Genomic DNA, 23568 nt, shown 5'->3' on the forward strand with positions numbered 1-23568 from the left:
TCCAAGAGCCCCGAAGAAGCTTCAGAACATCATAGCACCTGCTAATTCATCCATGTGGCAACTTTACATCCTATGACATATTTAGAGTGTGGGTTTCCTTTCGCCTGAGTGTGACTGCCCCGTCAACTGATTTGAAAAAAGAGAAACATATTCAGATCTAGTTTAAAAAAAAAAATTTTTTTAATCATGTAATAGGCCGGGCATGGCGGCTCATGCTTGTAATCCCAGCACTTTGGGAGGCCAAGACGAGCGGATCATGAGGTCAGGAGTTTGAGACCAGCCTGGCCAACATGGTGAAACCCCGTCTCTACTAAAAATACAAAAATCAGCTGGGTGTGGTGGCATATGCCTGTAATCCCAGCTACTCAGGAGGCAGGAGAATCACTTGAACTCGGGAGGTGGAGGTTGCGGTGAGCCGAGACCGTGACATTGCACTCCAACCTGGGCGACAGAGTGAGATTCTGTCTCAAAAAAAAAAAAAAATTCCTGAAATAAAGCAAGCATGCTGTAAGGATTGTGTAGCTTAAAATTTTATAAGAACCCTCTAAACAATCACCTGTGTCACCACAGAGGCACACCCTGCACTGGGTCAGACACTGTCCTGTGAGGAGCTGTGTTCTCCTGACACTTCATGTCCAGTGGTTTCCATGACTCTTCTTTGGGGCCAAGGGTTCCCTTTCATCATAGGTTGTTGTCATGCAGAGTCAAGCAACACTGAGCACTGGGAAATCAGAGAAGGAACTTCCAGGCAAGGGTCCCAGTGCAGAAGCCAGCTAGAGAGGACAGTAGTAGACTCACCCTTTGGGAAATATGTTTGAGAAATATGTATCTATTTTCACCAGTTCTATTACTCTATATTCCAGCTTGTCTATTCTCTAATTTCTCATTTGTACACTGAAAGCTAGACTGTGAATTCTAGCCCTGATCAAAGCTCCACATATACACAGACACCTTCTCTGAACCCTGCAGGCAGCAAACTTGCCTCTGTCTGCTCCCCTTGCTGCAGAGTCCATGGATCATGGTCTAGAAGTTTCCTGACTCATCCACTCTCCTTCTCTTGGCTGGAAGCCTCCTTGTTGGTTTCAGATCTCAGCGCCTCCCTGGATTGCCTCTCCAGACTGACACTTGAAGGATTATTTTTCCCCCTTTGGTCTCTTTATTCCCAATGTGTTCAATCATCAGGCTCAGAGCCTGATGCCTCCAGAGCGCAGCTCTACATTAGCTTTTAGAGAGGAGAGTGGGTCCTGGCTGTTCTGTTTATCTGTTTTCATTCACTAATTCATTCATTCATTTATTATAGAGACAAAAGATTCCCTATCCCAAGATATATGGTCATCTGTGCTGTATCAAAAGAGAAGATATTCTTCTCACAGTTTTATGAAATGAGGTAGCTTCGCAACTTGCGGGGAGCAGCCTCTTAAGTTAGTTGTCAAAATTAGGCTTTTGCCTAAGTAAAGTTAGGATCCTAAATTAGGCTCCTACTCTCCCACAAAAACTGGGAGACAGGGCCTCTATCTTCCTTGACGATTGTATCTCAAAAAGATGGTTCCTAGAGTCTTGGGAAAGACATTCCTGGGTCATAAAGCTGGCTAGAGGTTTACAGAGATTTTAATAGGATTGTCAAAAAGCCTTTTCTGTGTTTATTGAGATGATCATCTGGGTTTGTTTTTAGTTCTGTCTATGTGGTGAATCACATTTGTTGATTTGTGTATGTTGAACCAACCTTGCATCCCAGGAATGAAGCCTACTTGATTGCAGTAGATAAACTTTCTGATGTGCTGCTGGATACAGCTTGCCAGTATTTTGTTAAAAATTTTTGCATCGAATTAAATAATTTTTAAATAAGGTGACTTACATTAATTGCTTTTTAAATATAAAACCAATTATGCATTCCTGGGGCAAATCTCATCTACTGATTAGATATTAACCTTTTTATACATTGTGAGTTAAATTTACTTTATTTTTGTTAAGGATTTTTGCTTCTATGTTAATATTAGTACTATTTATTCTTCACAATTTGTAAATTGATAAACTTGCTCAATTTCATCAATAAAGTAAGCTGGGCCTGGAGTTTTCTTTCTGGAAATGCTTTTAATTATTATGAGTTCAATTTTTAAAACCACTTCTACATGTATTTTTTAATATCCCTATGGACATTCAAGTTATCCACTTTTTGAGTGGGTAATTGTGTTTTTTGGGGAATTTGTTTATTTTGTCTGCTTTTGAATTTATTGGCATAATATTAATCTTTCATTGGAGTTCTAATTTGCATTTCTCTAAGGATTAATGATGTTGAGGACATTTTAATGTTTTTATTACCATTTGCAGATATGTCTTTTTCATATACCTATTAATGCTTTTGCCCAGTTTTAAAGGTTAAATTATATATCTTTTATATTGATTTATAGGAATCCTTTATAAAATATAAAGGATTTTTATATTATATAGAATCCTTTATATAATCTGGATACAATATTCTAGTCTGATATATGTATTGTGAAACTTTTTCCTCAGTCTGAAAATTTTCCTTTCCACTTTCTTGGTAGTACCTGGGCACAACCCCTATGAAATGAGAGTACCCTTCTGTCTCCTTTAATTTTGTCTCTCTACCTTCACCCTTATCAGTATTTGGCAGGCAATTAATTCAGTCAGATTGAGAGAGTGCAAAGGCTTCTAGCTAGCCCTCGCAACACTGGCTTGGGTACACCTCTAATCTCCAATCACACGAAACAATTTGCCAGCCCAGAAGCTACCCCTGCTATGTATTCTACCATGAGTAGACCTTAAATGTGCACCTCCCACTCTCTCCATAGTACATATGGTAGAATGGTGATGGATCCTTCTTTTGGCAGACTTTCCACAATGCATGGAGCTATGCCTATCCAAGCACATCTCTGCATGGACGAAGGAAGGGGTGGATAATTGAGTCAGTGTTTCTGCTTCTTGCTTGTGAGTTTTCCCCAGTAAATCTTGTTTTATGTGTATATTGCACAGGGCTAGTGCTGTCTACATGTCCCTTCATATGATGGTGCTCTCACAGAATTCTGAGGCTGGAAGGAACAAACAAAAGTTCTCATAAAGAGAAATTTAATCACCTCTAGAAAGAAGTCCGTGCTTAATGGCTTTGGAGTTTCTGTGAAGAAAGGGTTTCCTCCTGCCTTAGAAGGTGGGCAAAGTGAGCAACATCTTCACCAAGTCAGGAACACTTGATTTCAGCCAGAGGCAGAAGTGGGGTTCTATGATAATGCCCGATTGTGGTTACAGAGGGACTACATGAGCAAGGCCATGGAGGTGAAAATGGATTCATTTGGGCTGAAATCCTGTAAATGAAGTAAGCGGGAAAACCCAGCGCACATTCCAATGGAAGATGCAGCTTCCTAATATTGTGCTTTCAACTTAGATTCTGTCATCTGTAATTACTCCACACACTTTCTCAAATCATTAGCACAACTGTGGGCCAGGTAATCATTTAGCCCCTTTGCTTGGTACAAGGTAGCCATGCTCTCTACTTAGCTCCCTATTTTTCTCTGGGAAGCTTTTGCTGAGACCTGCAGTGACCATGCTTCTCAGACTTCTCTCTTTCTTATTGTCATTTCCATTTATATTTTAACTTTAATTGTAGTTTATTTGATTAACATCTGACATGTTTATGTTTCTCTTTTGCTTATTTGACCTCACTTAATGATAACCCAGGTAACTGGTCAGCTGCTGCTAATCAAGTTATATTTTCTGGGGTTACATTGGTTATTTTTTCCTCTAAAGTTTCTATCTGTGTAAGAATTGAGGTAGCAGAACCTTCTCTCTCTTTTTTTTTTTTTTTTTTTTTTTTTTTGAGACAGAGTCTTGCTCTGTTGCCCAGGCTGGAGTGCAGTGGTGCGATCTCGACTCACTGCAAGCTTCGCCTCCCGGGTTCACACCATTCTCCTGCCTCAGCCTCCTGAGTAGCTGGGAACCTTCTCTTTTTTGGAAACAGGGTCTCACTCTGTCACCCAAGCTGGAGTACAGTGATGCAATCATGGCTCACTGCAGCCTCAACCTCTGAGATTCAAGCAATCCTCCCACCTCAGCCTCCCAAGTAGCTGTGACTACAGGCACACACCACCACCACTGGCTAACTTTTTTGTTTACATTTTTGGTAGAGATGAGGTCTTGCTATGTTGCCAGGTTTCTCTCAAACTCTTGAGCTCTGGTGATCCTCCCGCCTTTACCTCCCAAAGTTCTGAGAATACAGGTATGAGCCACCGTGCTTAGCTCCTCCTATTGATTTCTGAAATTTAAATGGAGATCAGACTGTCTCCACGCAAGGAGGAAGTCAGACAGGGCAGAGCTTAACCAATGTCCACGGTTTGTTTTCTCACTGCAGTCTTGGACTTACCACTCATCTCTTCATTCTCTGGCTCAGAATAGCTTCAGTCTTCCCAGAAGATTCTCATGATTTTCAGTTTGTTTCTGGTTTCTTAGTTATTTCTTGTCTCATCAGGCTCCCCTGAGGAAGGAGCCAGGAGATGCTACAAGTCTGCAATTTTAGGGGGAGTCAGATGGAGTGCACTGGTCTTTTGCACTTCTTTATAATATTATCTAAGCCTCCTCTTCTTTGAAATATAATGGCTATTCATCATGGGATATGAGGCATCTCAGAAGCAATCTAAATATCTGTTTGTTTCTTTTTCTAGTAAAGAATTGACCAGTATTCTAGCAATTTTATTTTAGGTATTCCTTTAAAAGTAAAAAATACATAGTTTTTCTTAACGTGACTTCTATTGATAGTTTATATTTTTATGATTTTGTGTAGTAGCTTTACCTTCCCTAGGATCAGAAACCACATCAGATAATCAGCTTCTATTATGAAAGAAGCTGATTCTTCTATTTGGAGAGTGAGGTATGCAGAAAATCCATAAAAGGTATTAAGTTATAGAACACCACCATCTGATCCACCATCTGATCTTGAGAGAATTTTAACTGGTTTATATCCATGAATACTCCCTCAGTAGGGTATTTTTGTTCTCTGGATGGCATCTTGGAAGAGGTACTGGTCATTGATCATATCTCACTGGCACATTGGCTAGTGACCGCTAATGTCACATGCAGCTGGATTGGAATCTCTTCTCATTGCTTTCTCATGGGGTCATTTGCCTTTGGACTTAAAAATCAAGAAATTTCATAATGACAATATCTAGATTTACTGTATATATGTAACTATTCTTAAAATTTGATAACAGATATGTCAAATGTAGATATTTAAAGAAATTTGGATTGGAAATACACTAAATCAGAAGTAGCAAGTGAAGGATAGCGGTTCTGTAATGGAATCTTTCTCAGATTCTGTTTTCCCTAGTCTCATGTTTCTTTTTTAAACCCAGTCTGGCCTCTCCTTCTTAGCTTACTAAGTATAGAACCACAAATAGAAACTTAGAAATTTAATCATTTTCTGCACATATCTTTACTCATATATGGGAAAATGGGCAAGAGGATATTGTCAGTGAACTCAGGCAAAAAGAGGATTTCTAAAAGAGAGAGTATAGATGGGAAAGAAACAAATTCCCCAGCAGCATGGGAACAGTGGGTACTGTTTTGTTTATTTTTGGATAAGCTGATTAGTTGGCATGTAGCACAGAGTGGTCTGAAAGGTCTTCTTGGAGCAAGCTGGCTGGAGTCATCACAGAAAAAAGAACTTTAATAATAAATCATCCACAAATCCCTGAGAGTCTGCCTGCCGCAAGGGAGACGGGATGACTTGATGTGATTCTGGCACAGTTCTTCCTGCAGCACACCTACCTGAGCTAGGCCAGGTTTGCATCATCTCCTTCATCAGCATTTTCTCAAAGGCAACATTTCTTTTCTATCACTTTTTTCCCTTTTACAGTGCAAAAAGTGATCTTGAAGAACATAAATTTTAAAATGTGGGGGTTTCTTTTAGTTCCCCTAGAGAAACAGTATAATAGTCAAGATGGTGAAATTGTTCCTAATTTAAATATGTCCCATGTCTCTTGCACCATGTTAGAAAGGCTGTATCCATCAGCTCAGACAGCCACAGCAAATAGCACAGACTGCATGGGTTAAATACAAATCTTTTTTTTTCACAACTCCAGAGCATGAAATGGGGATGCCAGCATGTGGGGCTCTGGTGAGGGCCCTCCTCTTGGCTTGCAGAGCACCCTCTTCCAGTTGAATCCTCACATGGTGGAGAGAGAACAAGCTAGCCATCAAGTGTCTCATCTCAGAGGGCATTAATCATACTGGATCAGGGCTCCACTTTTATAAACTCATGTAAACATAATTTTCTCTATAAAGACCCTATTGTCAAATATTGTCTCCCTGGGGGTTGTATTTTGGAGGGACATCAATATTCAGTCCACTAACAATGGCAAAATCTTGGTTACTGCGCAGTGGGCCACATGGGGGTGCTGTGGAACCACTGAGCTCCAAATGTCTCTGGGGCATGCACAGAGCCAGGAGCCTGGGACAGGGAGGGTTAAGGAGCAGCCTTGCTTGATGTTTGTGCTCACTAAAAAATGTGATGACGGATACATAAAACTGCAGGTGTGCCTCTCATCAGGGAGCCATGCACTTCAGCTATGCCTGGGTTAGGAAGCCTCTGTGAGCCGAAGAGGGAGAATGAAGATGGGATGTCCCATGCTGGGATGGGACAACCTGCATGTCCAGGGCAGGGACAGATAGAGGAACAACTGCCTGGAAGGAAAAGCAAAGGAACTGTGGGGGGGACATGCAGCCTAACCTCAGTCCAGCCCCACATGGTATGTGAGAGTATTAACAGCACAAAGCAGAGGTCCTGGATCGGGTAAGCCAGGGGCCTAACAAGGAAGGCAGGATGCATGGGAACCCGCAGAGATGACATCAGAGAAGTGATATCACAGCCTAACATCTGATCAGAGATGCAATGCCCAAAACCCCAGCTCTCAGAGGACCAGTATCCCTCACAGGGTGACACCTGACCAGCTCTGTCCCACCTGGCCATGGGCTCCAGGTACCTCTGATGGGAAGACCTTTGTCTCTTGGGAACAAGTGAATCCTTGGCACAGGTGGGATGTCTCTGAAGCACGCCTCATCCAAGGCACCCTCAGGCTCCCTCCTGTGTTCTTGCCCTAGCCTCTGTCTCCCTCCCTCACAGGCCCAGTGGATTCTGCTGTGCAGAACAGAGAGCAGTGGACCTCAGGAGGCCTGCAAGGGGAGGACATAGGACAGTGACATCACAGTATGCCCCTCCCACCAGGAAAAGCAAGGCTGAGAATTTAGCTCTTTCCCAGGAGGACCAAGCCCTGAGCACAGACACAGTGCTGCCTGCCCCTTTGTGCCATGGGCTCCAGGCTGCTCTGTTGGGTGCTGCTTTGTCTCCTGGGAGCAGGTGAGTCCCTGCAGACAGGATAGCGCCCCATTCTGAGCCTGTCCTCACCCCTGTGTCTTCCACTTTACCATGGGGAGGCACCACCAGGCTGTCTCCGGTGCTCATTCTCCATCTGCTTTTCCCACAGGCCCAGTAAAGGCTGGAGTCACTCAAACTCCAAGATATCTGATCAAAACGAGAGGACAGCAAGTGACACTGAGCTGCTCCCCTATCTCTGGGCATAGGAGTGTATCCTGGTACCAACAGACCCCAGGACAGGGCCTTCAGTTCCTCTTTGAATACTTCAGTGAGACACAGAGAAACAAAGGAAACTTCCCTGGTCGATTCTCAGGGCGCCAGTTCTCTAACTCTCGCTCTGAGATGAATGTGAGCACCTTGGAGCTGGGGGACTCGGCCCTTTATCTTTGCGCCAGCAGCTTGGCACAGCCCTACAAAGCCAACCACATTCTGTGCACAAACCTCCCTGGCCCAATGTGGAGCAACCTCAGCCCTGACATATCTGTGAGAACCTGGGGACTGCAGGGAGAAAGAAAGGCAATTTAGAATGCTAGGATCCACAGCCTGGGGCTTTCTGCAACTTGGCTGGGGAAAACAAGGCCAAGAGAGCCTGCTCAGAGGATGGTGCTGCTTCCGTAGGTTGACTGCAGCATTACCTTCTTTGCCGACACTGTGAACTACAGGAGTAGAGGAAATGTGTGTAATTTAACAGCTGGCGCACTCTTTCTCAGGACAAGAGATTTAATTTTGTGGTCAAGATTGTTGATAACAGTGTAGTGTAGAAGGGAGAATCACAGGGTTTGCTTTATACAACTTGGGGAGAAGAAATTGAGGTTTTGGGAAAGTCAAGGAGAGAGAAAACGAAAGATGATTGAAAACAGAGATAGAGCAGAAGGTGATGAAAAGTGGTGTTCTGTGCACCATGAACTCTCTTTCCCCCACCCGAAAGTTTTCAACACCTAGAAAAAAATAAGGAAAGGTCTTATAGCCACCGGAATCACCTGGTAGCCGGTCCCAGTCGGAGGCATCACCAAATTGCCGCTTGGCCATTGTGAGAGCCCTGGAGTTGCTTCTGCTGTCTTCCTTCTTCCAGCCCTGATCTTGACTCCTCAGGCCACAGTCAGGTACTTCCCAAAACACAGAGGAAGGTAAAGTCACCCTTCTTCCTAAAGGGGCAAATACTTTCCAGTTTCCCCCCAAATAAATTCTGCAACCCTGGGATTCCTTTCTGACACTCACCTCCCAAATCCAATTACCTTCTATGACCAAATGCTCTTTGAACATTTTCTAAAACTCAGCAGTCTCTACATCCTCTGCGTTTGTCCTTACAGTTTCCATGGCCTGGGAGGACCTTTGTTCTCCTAAGACGGGGCCACATACTGATCATCTGTCAAGGACAGGCTCACACCTGCCTTCCTCTTCACTTCTTACTGTGACATTCCCTGGGACTGTACTGTATCACTCTCTTTCCTTTATTTTAAAGCCAAGCATACAATTGATACTCTTTGATGTTTGCAAAACTAATAAGTTATTGCCCTCTCATACAGAATCCTGGAGTGTGATTAATTACTGTCTTCTCTTTACAAGGGACTCTACATGAAATATCATGGAGAATGATTATGAATAGTCTTAGTATTTCATGTAACTTCTGTAATATTCCTAGCAATTGTGTCTTCACAGTCAGGATTGATGACCAGTGCTGTCAAGTTCCCAAAGGGTATCTAATGCTGGAATTTGCAAATGTTCTTTTGGAGTGAAGAAAATTATGTTATTTAGGCTGACTGAAGAATCACTAAAGAAAGAAAATTATGGTACAGTAATATTTATAAAGACTCATAATCCTGTAAAAAACTTCCTCACCATAACCACACTTTCCACAGCCACATTTTTAGAGATTTGGTGAGGGTGGAATATAGTCAAAGGTGCTTCTTAATCATCCTTGATGAAATCAACCAAAATCAACCTACAACATTGAAAAAAAAAACTAGCTTTGCTCAGTAATGGAATCTTATCATCCTTGACAATGAAAAGATATTATGTGTTTGTGAGTGTGAATGTGTGTGTGTGTTTTCTTGTGGATACTCACTCACATAGAAGTTTCTCCCCTGGTGGCATTTTATGAGGTGCTGGATCACTGGCAGAGCTCCTAGGCACTTCTAGGTAAGGATAGAAAATAGCAGACCTAACGGAATCTGCCTAAGTTATAGCTGATAAGATAGTTTATTTCAAGATTTTATACATTCAGAAATAAATTTGTAAAATCAAAAAATCCTTTTTATAAAATGTGCTAGCTAAAATTTGTGAATAATTAAACTAAATGCAATGTGTGAAAAGATATGAGTCTGACTAATCAAAGGGAGCTCTGCAATGTAGTATTTTCAGCCCAGATTGGCTTGATATTGTCACACTTTCATCCTGTGGCCTGTATAATTCTGGCTCCTTTCTTCCATCTTAGGATGCTCATTGCAATAATGTAACAGCAATTTCTTGTGCAATCAAGATGTGTCCTTTTGTCTCCACTGGTCAAGGGTGAGTTTGAAGTTCCACCCTAAATCAACCCTTCCGGGAAAGCAATAGACAGGGTGTGTGAAAGAATGGGGGCTGCAGGGGTTGGAGTGGGGGCAACCGTGTTCCTGACTTGGACTATCCTGAGCTCATCAGGTCAGAAGGTGTGAATCCATGGGACTGTGGAATGTTGGCCACTTGGGGGCGCCGTGGCCCCACTATGCTGCAGGGAACCCTGGGGAGGGGTAGGAGGGTGGCCAGGAAGGGAGGGCGGAAGGGAATGCCTGGCTGCCTGCTGACATCAGGAGATTAGGTGGAAATTAGAGTAGGTCCTGGCCTGGGACTGCCCAGGGAAAGGTAGGGCCAGGGTTGGCACCAAGCAGGGAGTGTTTCTGCCTCTGCATGGGCAGAGGAGGGTGTAGGGGCTGGGGTGGCAAGGGCTGGGAATCAGTGTCAGGACAGGGATAGGGTGGGCAGAGGAAAGTGAGGTGTGATGTGGGCATGCGGGGACTGTGACCAGCCACCTCCCCTTTAGTTGAGGGGCTGTGCGGGACAGGAAGGCTGCATGGAGCTGCTGAGCCTGAGTCTTTCAATGGGTGAACAAGGCAGGAGTGGCCTGCAGAAAGAGTACCTGGAAAAGGACTGTACCCGAAGGAATTGGGTGACACTTTCTTAGCTCCACTCAGGGAGTGACCCTGAGGAGGGTGCTGCCAGCCAGAGGGGCTCAGGTCCTGGTGAGCTGACAGGCTTTTCCTCCAGACACTTCCTGTTGTTTCTGTATGTGATCTGGTTTTATGCTCACTGAAATCATGTAAGGTAGGTATGATTTCACCTGTTTATACATCTGAAGGAAAGCAGCTGTTCCGGGTCTCATATTAAGTAATTGGCTGAGGTGTTTTCCTCCAACATCTCTGCACCAGCCCCGTCCCCCGACTCTATATCTGTCCCTTCATCTGGCTTCCCCTTTCCAGGTCCAATTAGCAGGAGCACAAGGTCATGCCTCATATGTGACCATTGTAACCTCTTCCCTGACAAGTCCAAGGAACACGTGACTTCCAGGCCAAGCATATCCATTCACCTTTCACTGAAGCAAAACAGAAGGATGAAATTATCTGCACTGTACACTTCCTGTAACTGATATAATCTACCTTGAGGAAAAGTAACAAGAAAAATTGTTATTCATTAGTTATTATTTTATTTAATATATGTTTGGAGATCCTTTCTTTGTATAGATATTTTATGACATAAAAAGCAAAATAAAAAAGAACAAATGAAAATAAAAAAGAAAAGCTTGAAAGAATAATAAGTGTTTCTTACTTTTTAGAGTATTAAGGTTTGCATTAATTTTTTTAACTTATTCAAAGACGTTTGCTCAGTTTCTGAATTATACAGATTTCCTTTTTTTCTTCTCTTTTTCTCTTTAGCCACCTACAGCTTTTTCTGCCAGCTTTTTTAGTTTAATAACCTAAGGCTATCTTTTAAACAGATTTTTAAATGTACAATATAGTATCGTAATCTACAGACACAAGGTTGGACAGCAGATCTCTAAAGCTTCCTGATTCTTCTTTACTGAAATTTTGTAGCCACTGGTGGCAGCTGCCCATTTCCCCCTCTTCCTAGCCCTTGGAAATCACCATTTTCATCTTCACTTACATCAGTTTGACTTTTAGGTTGCCTCATATAAGCACAATCATGTAGTATTTGTCTTTCTGTGCCTGACTTTTTCAACTCAGCATAATGTCCTCCAGGTTTAGCCACATTGTCATGTATGGCCAGAATTTCTTCTTTTTAATACTTAATGATATTCCATTGTATGCATACACCACATTTAAGGTCTGAATATTAAATGTATAGTATCTTATTGTTTCTGCGAAACCATCTGTCACAGGAGTGGCAGGGTCATTTGCAGAACAGTAAGCACTGAGTATATGAATGCACATTCATTCGAAGTTCAATTCTGCTTCATAGAGAAGACTTCAAAAAAATAATAATTTCACTATTTATTGTTATTTTACTATACACAAATAGAATTTCTTTTTTCTTTTTTTTTTTTTTTGATACAGAGTCTCGCTTTGTCGCCTGGGCTGGAATGCAGTGGTGTGATCTTGGCCCACTGCAACCTCTGCCTCCCGGGTTCAAGTGATTCTCCTGCCTCAGCCTCCCGAGTAGCTGGGATTACAGGTATGCACCACCATGCCTGGCTGATTTTTTGTATTTTTAGTAGAGATGAGATTTCACAGTGTTAGCCTGGATTGTCTTGATCTCCTGACCTCGTGATCTGCCCACCTCGGCCTCCCAAAGTGCTGGTATTACAGGTGTGAGCCACCGCACCCAGCCAATACCCCAATACCATAAAATATTTAGCATATAGTAGAAATCTAGCTATTTTTATTTCCTTTGCTAGTCTCGGGCAGCCTCTTCCACTGCGCCAATGCCCAAAGGCAGTTAAAGACACATTTTGCCTGGAAATCTTAGGGTGAGGACTCAGGAAGCCACAGAAATGGAAATATATATGCGTGATGATTACTTTGAAAGTATGAACTAGAGAATGTAGCATATATCCCTCCTCAGGCATTTAAAACTCAGTATTATTGATATATAAGTTATATAAGCATTACACATTTTAAATAAACAGATCGGTTATACGTAACCAAATAATTAACAGAATGAGGAGCTCCTGAAAAGTTTTATGGTTTTAAAAGGGGTTGAAGCCAGGTGAGCTACCAGATCCACATTAGGGACAATTCTATCTGGAGATGGATATTGTGATGAAACAACCTCAGAAGGTCTTCTAACCTGGTACAGACTGATTTTACGAAGTTTATTTATTCATTTTCTTTCATTTCTTTTCTTATCTGCTCATTCACTCCAATTATTTTGTAATGATATTTTGGCGAAAATTAATCATCTTTAAGGGAAATATTTTGAGTTTCATCAGACACACATGCAGCTGAGCTTTGTGTTCACACACTGAGTGCCCTGGGGCCAAACAAAATACGGTAATAGTGACCTTGTTGAGAGATGACGTCACATTGGGAGAAAGGTTCTCTTTGTGTTGACACTAAGTGTCCAATTCATAAAACCTAAGCCTTGAGCTAGGAAATGCCCTTTTCTGCCCTGGGAAGCAGGCTCCTACATTGTGTGTTTCTCTGTCTCCTGGTCTAGCCTGGACACAGACAGTGTACCCACTCACGAACTTGTTATATCCTGGCTGTGAATTTCAGCACCAGGTGGCCCTTTGCTCTGACTTCAATTTCTGTGTCCTTCTCTCCTAAACACCATGGATGCTGAGTGACTCAGACTCCAGTCATGTGCTTTTGCCAAAAGGAAACTAGCACAAGAGGAGGTGAGCAGAATATGAAACAAAACCATGTACTCAGGACCGGCAATGTGACTTACTGGCAGCTCTTTGCTCAAATATTGTAAGGAAGTTGAAGATCATGACAATGTTACAGTAACAGGGATCTCTTTAAGTGTGGGGCTCTGTGCACTAAAATACGGGTTTTTTTTTTTCTTTTCTTTTTTTTTTTTTTTTTTTTTGAGACGGAGTCTTGCTCTGTTGCCCAGGCTGGAGTGCAGTGGTGCAATCTTGGCTCACTGCAACCTTGCCTCCTGGGTTCACGTGATTCTCCTGCCTCAGCCTCCTGAAGTAGCTGGGATTACAGGTGCGCACCACCATGACCAGCTATTTTTTTTTTTTTTTTTGTATTTTTAGTAGAGACGGGGTTTCACCATGTTTGTCAGACTGGTCTTGAACTCCTGACCTCATGATCCGCCCACCTCAGCCTTCCAATGTGTTGGGATTACAGGCGTGATCCACTGCGCCTGGCCTTTTTTTTTTTTTTTTTTAATTGTTACTGAATTAGTGGTGAGAATCCTGACCAAGGGAATATTCCCTATGAAATATGACACTTCAAATAAAATGAGAGCGCTTTTTCTTATCCTGGAGCCTGCCTCTTCTCTCCTCTCCCCACATCCCTCACATGTCAAGACACCTTTGTGCCCACAGATCATGGGCAGCGTTGGGCTGCCACTATCATCCACACAGAGAGGGCAGTCAGCAGCGTGAGGTGGTTCTGCCTGCTGCGGTCTCACCCCAGGCACAGAAAGCAAGAGCCCTGGGTGGAGCTGAAGGTGCTCAGCTGGGCTTGTCAGGAGTCCCATCTGTCGGTGAATTGAAAAGAAACAGAGCAAAATGACTCCTCCAATGGTGATGAGCCTGCCCCTGGGATTTGGAAACTTGGTAACAGAGAAAACCAATATAGACAAAGGATTTTAAACAGGATTATGGTCAATTAAGCAAATTAGAAAAGGATACTTGAAGGGGGATTTGGGACACAGGAGTCAAAAACACCGGGAAGACATGAGAAGTTTCCCTAAGAGTCTAAATTAGAGAAATATTTAGATAACTGACACCAGTGTATGAATGAGGAATTATATCATCACAGGGATAAGAGTTCCATTGAGTTACAAACTGCTTCCAAAAAGGTTAAGAAAAACTCGTAAGGCTGTGTCAATTCAGACAAAGGCATTCTTCCCATTCAAACGGTTCACCGGTGCATGAATCTTGAATTTGACCATCTGGGGAAGGGGCGTGGCCTCTCCTGACAGGAAGGCTCTGGGGCCCAGGCAGGGAGAATGAAGTCTCAGAATGACCCCCTTGAGAGTACTGTTCCCCTATCACCGATGCACAGACCCAGAAGACCCCTCCATCCTGTAGCACCTGCCATGAGCATCGGGCTCCTGTGCTGTGTGGCCTTTTCTCTCCTGTGGGCAAGTAAGTCCTGGGCAGGGCCCCATGTGTGGATTTCAAGGCCCAGCCTGTTTCCATTGTGGCTGCAGCATCAGCTTTGTTCTTCTCTGCAGGTCCAGTGAATGCTGGTGTCACTCAGACCCCAAAATTCCAGGTCCTGAAGACAGGACAGAGCATGACACTGCAGTGTGCCCAGGATATGAACCATAACTCCATGTACTGGTATCGACAAGACCCAGGCATGGGACTGAGGCTGATTTATTACTCAGCTTCTGAGGGTACCACTGACAAAGGAGAAGTCCCCAATGGCTACAATGTCTCCAGATTAAACAAACGGGAGTTCTCGCTCAGGCTGGAGTCGGCTGCTCCCTCCCAGACATCTGTGTACTTCTGTGCCAGCAGTGAAGCCACAGCGCTGCATGGCCGTCTCCTCTCTGCACATAAAGGCAGGGAGGCTCTGCCCTCCTCCCTCACCCCAGACTCAGTGATGCCCTGGGCAGAGTTCTCTGCACCAGGAAACTTGAAACCCCATCATCATGGGTCTGAGGCCCCCAGGATGAAACAGGATTTGTATTTCAGATCCATCTAGACTCTCGTCTCTCCCTGGGGACCATGTTGCTTCTTCTCTCTAGGGTTCCCCCCAGCCCCCACCCTCATGTTGTCTCTCCCTGGGGACCATGTTGCTTCTTCTCTCTAGGGTTTCCCCCAGCCCCCACCCTCATGTTGTCTCTCCTGTGGCCCACCTTTCCCATCTGGGCAGTCACCCTCCAAGGCCTTGCTGGGTCTCTCCTCCCCTCACTTCCCCACACCTCTCCACAGCAGCCATGAGGGGAGCCCCTCTTCTGTGCCTCCTTCCTTCCCATCACAGAGACTTCAAAGTCCATTTTCTCTGCCCTGGGCTGGAGGCTTCCTTTCTGCAGTGGCCAACTCCTACCTGTGCTTCACATCTCAGCATGATCAGCCCTCCTGTGGGAAGCATGCCCTTGCCTCCCAGCTGAGATCAATTTTTCTGTTATAAGCACTGATGGTAACATGTGCTTGTTAGTCAACAGAGTTGAGCACAGTTGGAGTTTTCCAGTTACTTGTCTGGATATTTTTCTGCTCATGTCGATTTTAAACTCCATAAAGGGGAAGGCTGTGCTTGTTACATTTACCAACAGCTGTTCCTGGAATGAAGGGAGACCTGTTTCACAGATAATGGATGAGTTAATGAATGACAGGCTGATTGAGTGATGAGCGGGTGGATGAACCAATAACAGGAACACTCCAGGTCCGCTGTACCCTGGCAGAAATCTAGAGTTAACTGTGCCTGAGATGCTCTGCTATGAGCTCTTCAAAGGGCACTCGCTTGTTGAACAAGCGTTGGACCATTCATTGTGCAAGCCAGTTTGTCAGTTCATCTAGGAGTTTCCAATTTTAAATATCATATGTTCTTCAAACTCAATGAGGGTAAAGTCTACATTATACAATTCTAAGTTATTTTTTAAAGTTTTGGGTTAGGAACCAAAAAGGAAAGAAGAGGGAATATCTTTAGACTTTGGAGTTTTTTTATTGAAAATGTATTTATATAAATTTTTCTTGGAAGAACAGGTAGGGAAAGTCATGACTACACAGCCTTATAGGTGCTAATTTCTGGAGAAGGTGTCATGAAAAATAACAAAAATGAGAACTGTGTTCTGGAGGGAACATTGTGACTGTCCTGAGAGCGTGTTCTGATCCCAGGAACCAAACCCAGGAGTGTGTTTGGCAACTCAGAGTGCAGCAGACAATTCTTTGCCCCGTGCATTTGGGATAAGACTGGAGACAGCTGGAAAAGCTATGGACTGGACGTTCTGCACTCTCAATGCAGGACTCTCTGAAATCCCACAGATTAATGTCAGGTAAATATATTCCCACTATTAAGACAACTAAAGCAAGAACCAATGAAGAAAAGTGAGTAGAAACAGTAAGCAATTGAAATGTATGAAGACAAGGAATTTTGCCATAAAAAGATATAAAAGTTAAAGAGCTATATTTAAAGGAATACAAAAGCGAATTGATATGTGAACATGAAAAAGAAGACTGTCAGAAATAATCAAGGAAACATTAAAAAATAATCAAAGAGAATACACTAACGATTAAGATTATCATTGAAAACAAAATGGAAATGAAGAAAAGATGACATGCTTCAAAAGAGATTGTTACAGGAGGTCAAAGACAGATCTGAAGAAGTTACCTAGAATGCAGCACAGAAAATTAAACAGGAAACAAGAAAAGGTAAGGGATAAGGAATAAAACACTTGTGGGTTCTAGTGTATTAGTGTATATATAATATTTTGTTGGAACTTCCCATTTTTCTTACACATGATTGAAGTGTCACAAAGAGAAAGTAGAGAGAATGATAGGTGATAATTATGAGACATTAGCTGAGAATTTTCAAGACGTGTTTCAGGACCTAAATCCTCTGTTTCAACAAGTTAAATGAATATGAAGTAGATGAATACATATGTTATGGTGAAATTGCGGAACACAAATGACAAAGAGAAGATTTTAAAAGTAGCCCAAAAGATAACTATCTCCCAGCAGAATAGACTGAAAGGAACAGTGAAAGTCAAGAAAGGAGATTAAAAATAAGCATCAAGTCAGAATTATAATTCTCATTCATTAAATATTGAGATTGAGGTAAATATATTTATAGATAGAGAAAGAAAAAACACGGTGAGTTTGTCACCAAGGTATCCTTTCTGAATTATAGTTAACAAAGATGGGAAGTGGTCCCAGAAGAGGGGCATGAGGTGCCGCTCGTGAGGGAACCCATGTGATGGGACAGCCCCATTGGGCACGTGTGACTGGGGGGATGGAGGAGGCTGGGGCATCAATGGGGATGGCACAGGGGACTCTGACTTGCAGGAAAGACAATGAGCTCACCTTTTGGTGCTTTGTGTTGGCGGAGCTGTTGACACATCCTAGAGAACATGCCCAGCAGACAGAGGAGCGGCTGTGGGATGAGGAGATAAACTCAGAGATGCAGCGTGAGGCCTCCGGGTCCAGACAGCATGAGAGCCCAAAGCGATGATACATGCATTGATGTTGTTAAAAAGGATTTTTTTTTTTTTTTGAGACAGATTCTCGCTCTGTCGCCCAGGCTGGAGTACAGTGGCGCAATCTCGGCTCACTGCAAGCTCCGCCTCCCGGGTTCAAGCCATTCTCCTGCCTCAGCCTCCCAAGTAGCTTGGACTAGAGGCGCCCGCCACAACGCCTGGCTCATTTTTTGTATTTTTAGAAGAGACAGGGTTTCACCATATTAGCCAGGATGGTCTCGATCTCCTGACCTCATGATCCACCTGCCTCCGCCTCCCAAAGTGCTGGGCTCACGCCTGTAATCCCAGCACTTTGGGAGACCAAGGTGGGCGGATCACTTGAGGTCATGAGTTTGAGACCAGCCGGGGCAATGTGGTGAAACCCCGTCTCTACTAAAAATACAAAAATTAGCCTGGTATGGTGGTGTGAGTCTGTAATCCCAGCTACTCAGGAGGCTGAGGCAGGAGGATCACTTGAACTTGGGAGGCAGAGTTTGCAGTGAGCCGAGATCACACTGCTGCACTCCATTCTGGGCAATGGAGCAAGGCTCTGTCTCAAAGAACAAACAAGCAAAAAGCAAGGAACTCATAAATATTTAAAGGAGGCATTTAAGTAGGTCCTAAAATAAATCCTTTGTTCCTGTCATTGCGTGGATTGAGAGAGGATGTGATGTCACTATGGGACCTTCTGTGTGGGAACAAGGACATCCCTCCTCCTCTGCTCCTACTCACAGTGACTCTGATCTGGTAAAGCTCCCATCCTGCCCTGACCCTGCCATGGGCACAAGGCTCCTCTGCTGGGCAGCCATATGTCTCCTGGGGGCAGGTGATTCCTCAGATGCCAAGCAGTCTCCTGTGTGTGTGTGTGTGTGTGTGTATGTGTGTGAGATGTGTGTGTGAGAGAGAGAGAGAGAGAGCTGACTATAGTTGTTTTTCTCATTCAGTTCCCAATTTCTGTCTCCACAGATCACACAGGTGCTGGAGTCTCCCAGTCCCTGAGACACAAGGTAGCAAAGAAGGGAAAGGATGTAGCTCTCAGATATGATCCAATTTCAGGTCATAATGCCCTTTATTGGTACCGACAGAGCCTGGGGCAGGGCCTGGAGTTTCCAATTTACTTCCAAGGCAAGGATGCAGCAGACAAATCGGGGCTTCCCCGTGATCGGTTCTCTGCACAGAGGTCTGAGGGATCCATCTCCACTCTGAAGTTCCAGCGCACACAGCAGGGGGACTTGGCTGTGTATCTCTGTGCCAGCAGCTCAGCCACAGCACTACTGCTCCAGTGTCAGCTTGGTTCCCTAGGAAATGGGGTTTCTAGAACCTGAATGCTGACAAATAAGAGTTGTATATGTGTATACCATGCAACCTGCGTTTAAAAATGTATGTACATAGTGCAATGACTAAATCTAGCTAGTTAACATATGCAGTACCTCAATCCTTATCCTTTCCAGTGGTGAGAATACTTAAAATGTACTCTGTTAGCATTTTCCCAGAATACAATCCACTGTTGCTAACTCTAGTCATTTGTTGTATAATAGATCTTTGTAACATCTTCGTCTTATCTGAGTGAGATTTTGTATCTGTTGACCAACATCTTCCCAACAGTCCATCTCTACTCCAGCCTTTGCTAATTACTGCTCTAGTCTTTGAATTTGAAGTAATTTCCCTGAGGTCTTTAGCTCAACAAGATGGGGGAATTTTCTCTATAATGATGCTTACATTATTTTTGCTTTGTTTTTGTTTCGTTATTTTATGTCTTGCAATATAGTGTTTATTGTAAATATAAATAAGTATATTGTAATAAAAATCCTTCACCTCTCTTTGGGTAAAGCTACAGTTCACATATTCTAAATTTCATGCTGTGACCAACGCTGACATAATTATGGATCATGGGTTTCTGGGAGTCCTCAGAGACAGCCCCATACACCAAGTTTAAGATAGAATATTCCAGACCCAGCCAGGACAGAAGTGCATGGTCCTGCATAGCTCCTTGGAAAATTATAGTTCCCCAAATTCAGTTATTGGATATTGTGGTGCCGCAGACACCAAACGTCTTTCTCTAGCAAATGATGGTCCTTGGCAGGGATTGTTCTGAACCCATTACAATTTTGCCATCATCAAATCACTCCTTGCTGTTACCTTGTGTCTCCTGGGAGTGAGGACGCCCCGGGCACAGATGGAAATTCCCTGACCTTCGGATGCTATTTCAAGGACTTCCTAAGACCTTGTGTCCATCTTTTTCCACCTTTATCCACATGACTCCTGAGACCCACGCTCACAATAGTGGACCAGCTCTGATTCTTAGGCTTGAACAGAATTCAGACCACAGCTGTAAACACTGTTGCTGAAAAAAGATGTAAAAAAGGTGGGCAGGGCTTCCTACCTACACTGAGGGTGAACATACAAGGGCATAAAGGGAATATTTTATTAATAGCTAAAAAAAGAAGAAATACAAGCCCTGCTCTAATGAAATGAGAACTGTAGCTTCACCCACAGAGAGGTGGAAGATTTTATTACAATATACTTATTTATATTCATAACAAATAATATATTTGAAAAAATAAAGAAAACAAAAAGTAATATAAGCATTATTATAAAGAAAATACCCCTGTCTTCTTGAGTTAAAGACCTCAGGGAAATTAAGACACATCGAAAGACTAGAGCAGTAATTACCAGAGGCTGGGGTGGAGATGGGGTGCTGGGGAGATGCTGGTCAAAGGATACAAAATTTCACTCAGATAGGAGGAAGAAGTTTAAAAAATCTTTTATACAACAAAGTGACTAGAGTTAATAACACTGGACTACATTCTGGGAACATGCTAACAGAGTTGAATTTTTTAGTTGAACCAAAGCAGAATGTCCATAAAATTATTTTGAATCAAAGTCTAGAAGCTTTCAAACCAGTTGGCATAGCCTTGTGTTCTGTGATCTCAGCAGCTTCAGAGGACTTGGCAATCCTTTCTCTGCACAAACACCCCTTTGTCCACTCTAAGAACTAGGGACACACACTCTTATCCTATCACGAAAACAACAGGCTGTGCTACAGTTGCTGGTAACTCGTTTTAAGGGTGTTGAGTATGGAGGATTGAACAAGATTGAAAGCTATGCTCCTGAGTCTGGGAATGTGCTGGAACCAGCTTGCATGATTCAGAAGAGCCAAATAGGCAAACCCTTCCCAAATCCTCATTGAATGAAGCCATGATGACAGCTTGAAATCTGCCATAGTGGCTATGCTGATACCATAGGAACTGACAAATGCTACTAGGCATGGCCCCACCCTCACAGATATCCAGTTTACAAGGACATCACTGGAATGTTTTCTGATACAATGATGATCCTATTAGGGCATGTCTTATGGGGCCAAAAAGGCTCAGAATCCACTGTCCATCTGTTTCTGCTCCTAGAAGCCATAGTCTAAGGGAATCTCAAGTGATCCTACTTCTCTCCAATCTCCAAATTCCCTTGCTCTGTGGGTCTGTGTCTCCTATGAGCATGCCAATCTGAAACAAGACAACTATTTGGAATGTAGCTAAAGGAAACAGGGAACCAGTCCATTATTTTCAAATTATCCTTCCTTGCATGAAGTATGCAGATGCTGCAATCACTGAAAACAGAGATGGGGCAAGCAGCAGCTCTGGGCTGTGAGTCACTTTATACTATAGTGCCCCGCTATTCCTCTGTGGCACTGACAGACCCTGCAGCATGGACTAATTTGCATAGGAAACTAAGCAGCCCCTGACCATCAGGTATGACCCTGGATTCATTTTGGGCTGAGAGGTCAGAAGGATCATACTCACCTTAAATATTATCCTCTCCAAGCTGCAATACTCCCACTGTCCATCTTAGTCCCAGGATGTTGTCCAGAGCTCCAGAGAATCCCTTCTCTTGGGGCAGAATCACCAAGGTTGCTCCCTCCAGATTTCCACAGTCTCCAGTGGGTATGGGGCACAGGTGCCATTCTGTGTCTCAGGTAGAGAGAGGCATCATGTCAAATGATATTTGTAGAAGAGGGATTCAAATTCTGAGGCTCCTCTCCAATATTTGACATAATTTTCTTTGCTTCTTGTTTCATTCTACAATCTCACAATTTAGGAGAGTAATTCTTTTGCGGTTGCATTGTTGACAGCATTTGGGAAAGTTTTTGTGGTTAAATTAATTTAAACAATCATTTTAATGGTGTATTTCTTCTGTTCACGATAGAACAGTGAAAGCAGTCATTTACACATCCTGTTGATGAAGGTGTTGTTTAAGGTTCATGATCCACACCTAACTCTCAATCTAGTTGAAATGAAAAGGTGCAGAATTAGGTGGCACGTGAGCAAGCTATGAGAGAGGCTCATGCCAATTACTGTGGGATTTGGAGGGAGGGAGAGATGACCTCTGCTCTAGACCATGCTCCACGAAGAAGGAGTGGGAGTTTGTCCATGGGAGACTGCAGAGGAATAAATACCAGCAGCTTCTAACTGGGGTGGAGTGAGGGCTGCGGGAGCAAATCCTTGGAACAGAAAATGGTGCATTTGAGCTCTCACAGAGGACAGTGGAAAGAAAAGTCATATAGGCCACAGTCCCCCGGCAGGTTCTGTTTGCTAATGATACTATTTTGCACCAGTGTGTCCTTATCTCACACCACTCCTCTGCCTCTTCCAGAATAATCTCTTCCCTCTCCGCTGCTCAGATCAGCAGATGTGCCTTGTGCAAGTTACTCATTTCACATAGCAGGCCTTTTGCTGGTCTTAATTATATCCGTCGTTACTTTCCACATTAGATACTGTGTATTGCCTTGCAAATGATCCTACTTTTTATATTCCTATTTTTCACTTGTTAATGCATATTTGACCCCTTCTTGAAGGTCAAGATGACCTTGGAAATATAAGGCTATCTCATTATCTGGTCAGTCTTTTACTAATCTTTATTTTTATCGTAACATTGACTGTCATTTTGGGGGACATGTTTGTTTATCTTGAATTTCATTGAGTTTCCTCAAAGCACGATTTTGAGTTCTTTGTCTTAAAGGTCGCATATCTCTGTCTGTCTAGGGTTGGTCCCTGTTTTATTTTTTTTTTGAGAAATTACCGACTTCACCAGATGCTGTAAGCTACCGGGATAGAGGAAGTTTTTGTGATTTCATAGCTTGGGTCTTCTTTATTCAGGGCAGGGAATTTTATTTTGGGGTCAAGATTGTTGAAAATGGCATAGTGAAGAAGGTAGAGTCACAGGAGTTTGCTTTATATACTTGAGGAAGAAGAAACTGAGATTTGGGAAAAGTCAAGAAAAGAGAACCTGATCAAAGATGACTGAAAATAGTAATAGAGCAGAAAATGATGAAAAGTCGTGTTCTGTGCACCACGAACGTTCTTCTCCCCACTCCAAAAGTTTTCGACACCTAGAAAATATAAAGAAAGGACTGATAGCAACTGGCATCACGTTGAGGCCAGTCTCAGTTGGGAAAAACACCAAACAGCCGCTTGTCTCCTGTAAGAACCCTGAAGTTGGTCCTGATGTCTTCTTTCTGGACTCTGGCCCTGATCTTAACTCCTCAGGGAAGTCAGGTACTTCCCAAAATACAGAGAATGTCAGATTGCCCTTGGTTTTGAAGGAGAAAATGCTCTGCGCTTCTCCCCAAGATAAATTCTGCTTTCCTAGGAATGCTTTCTAACACTCGTCATCCAGATCTGATTACCTTCTGTGACCAAACGGTTTCCGAAGATTTTGTAAAACTCAGCAGCCTTTCACATCCTCTGCGTTTGCACTCACTGTTTCCATGGCCCAGAAGGACATTTATTTTCCCACGACAGGGCCAGACACTGCTCATCTGCCAAGGACGGGCTCCCTCCCACCTGTCTTCCTCTTCACTTCTCATCCCAGCATTCTCTGGCACTCTATGATATCAC

The 23568-nt window shown here is 43.3% G+C and overlaps 1 long non-coding RNA gene, 1 pseudogene, 2 gene segments (V, D, J or C) and 1 further gene, besides 8 other annotated features; 4 read left to right on the forward strand and 1 right to left on the reverse strand.

Annotated features, from left to right (window-relative positions):
* Positions 1 to 23568, forward strand: part of TRB (T cell receptor beta locus) — a 514277-nt gene that overhangs the window by 14750 nt on the left and 475959 nt on the right.
* On the forward strand, positions 7315 to 7784 carry TRBV5-1 (T cell receptor beta variable 5-1). The segment is given in 2 exon segments: positions 7315 to 7363; positions 7491 to 7784. Coding segments are annotated over 2 exon segments (343 nt in total), but the record flags the coding sequence as incomplete, so codon positions are not given.
* Positions 7785 to 7791: a recombination feature (RSS_heptamer).
* Positions 7792 to 7814: a recombination feature (RSS_spacer).
* Positions 7815 to 7823: a recombination feature (RSS_nonamer).
* Positions 14594 to 15026, forward strand: TRBV6-1 (T cell receptor beta variable 6-1). The segment is given in 2 exon segments: positions 14594 to 14642; positions 14732 to 15026. Coding segments are annotated over 2 exon segments (344 nt in total), but the record flags the coding sequence as incomplete, so codon positions are not given.
* Positions 15027 to 15033: a recombination feature (RSS_heptamer).
* Positions 15034 to 15056: a recombination feature (RSS_spacer).
* Positions 15057 to 15065: a recombination feature (RSS_nonamer).
* On the reverse strand, positions 16148 to 22959 carry LOC105375539 (uncharacterized). Its single transcript, XR_928061.3, has 2 exons — positions 21475 to 22959; positions 16148 to 17595 (listed from the first exon to the last, which is right to left on the reverse strand). It is a non-coding gene; the product is annotated as an uncharacterized LOC105375539 (long non-coding RNA).
* Positions 18455 to 18941, forward strand: TRBV7-1 (T cell receptor beta variable 7-1 (non-functional); annotated as a pseudogene). The gene is given in 2 exon segments: positions 18455 to 18503; positions 18644 to 18941. Coding segments are annotated over 2 exon segments (347 nt in total), but the record flags the coding sequence as incomplete, so codon positions are not given.
* Positions 18641 to 19141: an enhancer, noted in NCBI's record as "H3K27ac hESC enhancer chr7:142032227-142032727 (GRCh37/hg19 assembly coordinates)". NCBI's record gives its function as "activates a minimal SCP1, AML or CMV promoter by ChIP-STARR-seq in primed H9 embryonic stem cells {active_cell/tissue: H9 hESC(primed)}" and the evidence as "EXISTENCE:reporter gene assay evidence [ECO:0000049][PMID:30033119]".
* Positions 18942 to 18948: a recombination feature (RSS_heptamer).

This window comes from Homo sapiens, chromosome 7, assembly GCF_000001405.40.
Source record: "Homo sapiens chromosome 7, GRCh38.p14 Primary Assembly".
NCBI classification, from domain to species: Eukaryota; Metazoa; Chordata; class Mammalia; order Primates; family Hominidae; genus Homo; species Homo sapiens.